The sequence below is a fragment of the Homo sapiens genome, chromosome X (assembly GCF_000001405.40).
Source record: "Homo sapiens chromosome X, GRCh38.p14 Primary Assembly".
In the NCBI taxonomy this organism is placed as follows: Eukaryota; Metazoa; Chordata; class Mammalia; order Primates; family Hominidae; genus Homo; species Homo sapiens.
Window position 1 is genome coordinate 42,894,202 of NC_000023.11, and position 4,003 is coordinate 42,898,204.

Sequence of the window (4,003 nt, forward strand, 5' to 3'; positions counted from 1 at the left end):
GACTGTGGTGGGGTGGGGGGAGGGGGGAGGGATAGCATTGGGAGATATACCTAATGCTAGATGACGAGTTAGTGGGTGCAGCGCACCAGCATGGCACATGTATACATATGTAACTAACCTGCACATTGTGCACATGTACCCTAAAACTTAAAGTATAATAAAAAAAAAAAGAAAAGTAAAAAAAAAAAAAAAAAATTTCTGTTTGAAAGATAAATGTTTATTTGCATAAAAGTTGACCAGAAGGTGTTAAATTGTTTAAATGTGATTGAGAATGAGAACGCTATGTGCCATCATTTTCAGGATAACTCACAGTTCCTAACTGTACTAATTGAAATGACATGTGACAATGCAACTAAAATGGTAAATAATCGACTTGATAATTATAATTTTGCTTAGGAAGAAAACAGCTCCCTAAACTAAGATAAGAAGAAGATATTCAGCCTCTCCAAAGTTATAAATCTTGGGGCTGGCAACAAGGGACACATGTATGTGTTTTAAACAATCTCAGAGCTAGGAAATAAGGAGAGGTTTGACAAATTTTTCCTCCCTTGAAACTTCAGTAAAAGATGGAGAAATATCATGAAAGATTTTTAAAGTTACAGTCGTGGGGAAGGTCTCAAAAAATAATGCTAGTGAGAAAAACAAGTATCAAAGTGGGTTAGTAGAGAATCAGGCACTCTTGCACTGTCAGCCTGTTTTAGTCTGCTCAGGCTGCCATTACAAAATACCATAGACTGGGTGACTTAAACAACAGACATTTATTCTCTCACAGTTCTGGAGGTTAGAAGTCCAAAATCAAGGTTCTGGCTGATTTGATTGTGTGCCCAGGGACAGAAAAAGAGAGAAAGTGAGCTCTAGTGTCTTTCTTATAAGGACACTAATCCTATTAGATCAGGGCTCCACCCATATGCCACATTTAACTTTATTTACTTCCGTAAAGGTCCCATTTCCAAATACAGCCATACTGGGGGTTAGCGCTTCAACATATGAGTTTTGCGGGGACATGAACATTCAGTTCATAAGACAGTCCAAAAGAGGAGTGAGTGGAGGGACAGACTCACTGGGAGACTGGGGGCAGGACGGGGTGAGGTGTCCTGGTCTGTATGCAGGCCTAGCTGAGAACTACTCTGAGAAACAGAAGTCCCTTGAACTACCCATCACCCACCTGGCAATAAGGAAACCTGATAGTGGGGAGGAAAGGCTGCAAACCTGGATAAGAAGATGCTGTGAGGCCAAATTGTGGGCTAGCTGAGCCCACCCCTAACCCATGCAGAGCTGATTAAGCCTGAGACTAGGGTGTAATGGACCACCCAGCTGGAGACCAGTGGTGTCACTTGGAAAAAGTGACAGAAAAAAGGTCTTGGCAGTACCAAACAGAAACTTCAGGTAGAAGTGTTTTCATTCCCTAAATGAAGGTCTAAGAAGACAAGCAAACTGTAAGCCTCTAAAATTGCCAGTTCCAGCTGGGGTAGTGGCTTACGACTATAATCCCAGCACTTTGGGAAGCCGAGGTGGGAGGATCGCTTTAGCAATAGGAATTTGAGAACAACCTGGAAAACATAGACCCCGTCTCTACAAAAAAATAAAAACCTTAGCCAGGCATGGTGGCATGTGCTTGCAGTCACAGCTACTTAGGGGGCTGAAGGGGGAGGATCGCTTGAGCCTAGGAGGTCGAGGCTACAGTGAGCAGTGATCACGCCACTGCACTCCAGCCTGAGCAACAAAGCAACACCCTGTCTCAACAACAACAAAATGCCAATTCCTAGGAATCACTTGGGTAGGAGATACCTGGGACATTTAAACATGTCTAAGGTTATGTTAATAAGGATACAGAGGTTAGCTTAAAAAGCAGGGTTCCCCAACTACAGGCATTTTGGGCTGGATAGTTCTTTGATATAGGGGTCTGTCCTGGGCATTGTAGAACATTTAGCAGCATCCGTGGCCTCCACCCACTAGATGCCAGTAGCACCACTCCCCAAGTTTTGACCACCAAAAATGTCTCCAGATATAGCCAGTGTTGAGAACCTCTGGCCTAAAGAGAGGGCTGCTAGTGACCTAATAGAGACAATTTATACGCCCTAATAAAACGACCATTTACAGAATTAACTGAAATGCTAAATGAAGTCATAAGACCATGGCAATGCTGAAAAGGAAGCCATCATATAATATGCCCCAGGAAAAAGTCAAGCCACTGTGAGTCAGTTTCTTTCAAAAATGGGAGGGATTGACAAATTGTTCAATTAGAGAAAACGTTACCAAAACAAAAAAAAAAAAAAAAGAAAAAGTTACAATTAAATAATTATTTAGTTTTGTAATTTAGTTCTTTCACTGGATAGTTATTGTAGTGTGCCTGAAATGTCAAACATCCACACATTCACACTCATAAATATAATAATTTGACAGTGCAAAATTAATAACTCTGAGGTCAAGTTATGGAATAAGGAGTATAACTCAGACAAGTCGGAAGCCTCAGTACTTTGGGGGATTACTTTGGGAAACTGATCTTCACTTTGTCAGGTCTTGCTGTAAATTCTTGAATGTGCACTGGTATTTTTATATTATTTGCACCTGATGACTCTCAAAAGTCAAGCAGTACATCGCCAGTAAGGTGTAAAATTGTGCAGGGAGAGCTTTTCATGGCACCCCACCTCAGTTCCATGTCTCTGTGTGGAACTTTGGGGGAGCTGGGATATTACACTTTTAGCGGGGAGCATGATGTGGTAGCTTCTGTTTTCCGTAGCTACCTCCATAAATTTTTATGTCTTTTGCTATTGAAGAAACTTTGCGCCTTCTACAACAATGTCTGTTAGTGTCTTTCTGTCAATCATATCACTGTCCTGTTGTGATGACTGAGCAGGTGCCTTTTTTATCCTGTAGTGTTGTGTATTAGACATTAGGAATTGCAGAAATGAGACTTAAATTTGCACCAGTCTCTTGTATTTCCCTTTGGATTTTTCTCCTCCTTTTATCTTTGGGGTCATCAGAGGACCCCTGTGTAGTCACATTACTTTCTTTAGATTCCTCTCTCTTTTTTAAAAATTTCCCCTTAATCTAATTTCTTATTATATTATAAAATTTATAAAACTGCTCATCTCTCTTGAACACCTTTTAGAAACCTTGATTGTGAGATTATAACCACATTCTATCTGATATTTTAAGAATAAAGTCCCAGGGTACCTTTATTTCTATTGCCAATATTGCATTTTTAGAAACTCCTAGATCCTGAGGCTATATATATCTATATATACTCCAAGAAGATTACTTACTTCCAAAGTTTCTGTTGTACTCATTTTAAGAACTCTATTGGCCTAGTTGGTGAGAATGAAGCCCAGAGTAATAGTTCATCTTGATAGTTCCTCTACATGCAGATACAGCATTGTCAGTGAGAAAAGTCAAGTATGTGTCAAATACTTAGTTGAATGATAACTTATTTAGATATAAATACCTTGCCTCCAAAACAGATATAGAAATGGTATTAGGAAAGCACAGTCTATTTATGATGAATTCATAATTGCTGAAATGCTTTTTATTCTGTTTTAAGCTTATATACTGACATAATTTCAGACCTATATAAAAGTTGCTAAAATAGTACAAACATACACCCTTCATCCAGATGCCATGAATGTTAACATTTCAACACATTTGCTGTGTCTATATGAATCATTTTAAACAAAAGACACAGGCTGAAATACAAGATGCTCCTAGAGATGTGCAAACTATGACCACAAATATTGCCTCTTTATCCCTTCACACAAACCTCCTACCAGCCACACAGCCAGACATGGACAGTTTCCTAGTTGCCCCTTTCCTCTTACATTAGATGCATGGATCTGCCTCCCTCAGTAGATATCTTACCACCTTGGAGAGCAGGAACTACCTATTATTTATCTCTCAATCCTTAGCCTGCTATTCAGTGCCCAGCACATTGTAAAGGTACTCAGTGTGTGTGGAATAAATTTTTCCTTTTATATGGATGGGTTTGTCATTTTTGTTTGTTTGTTTT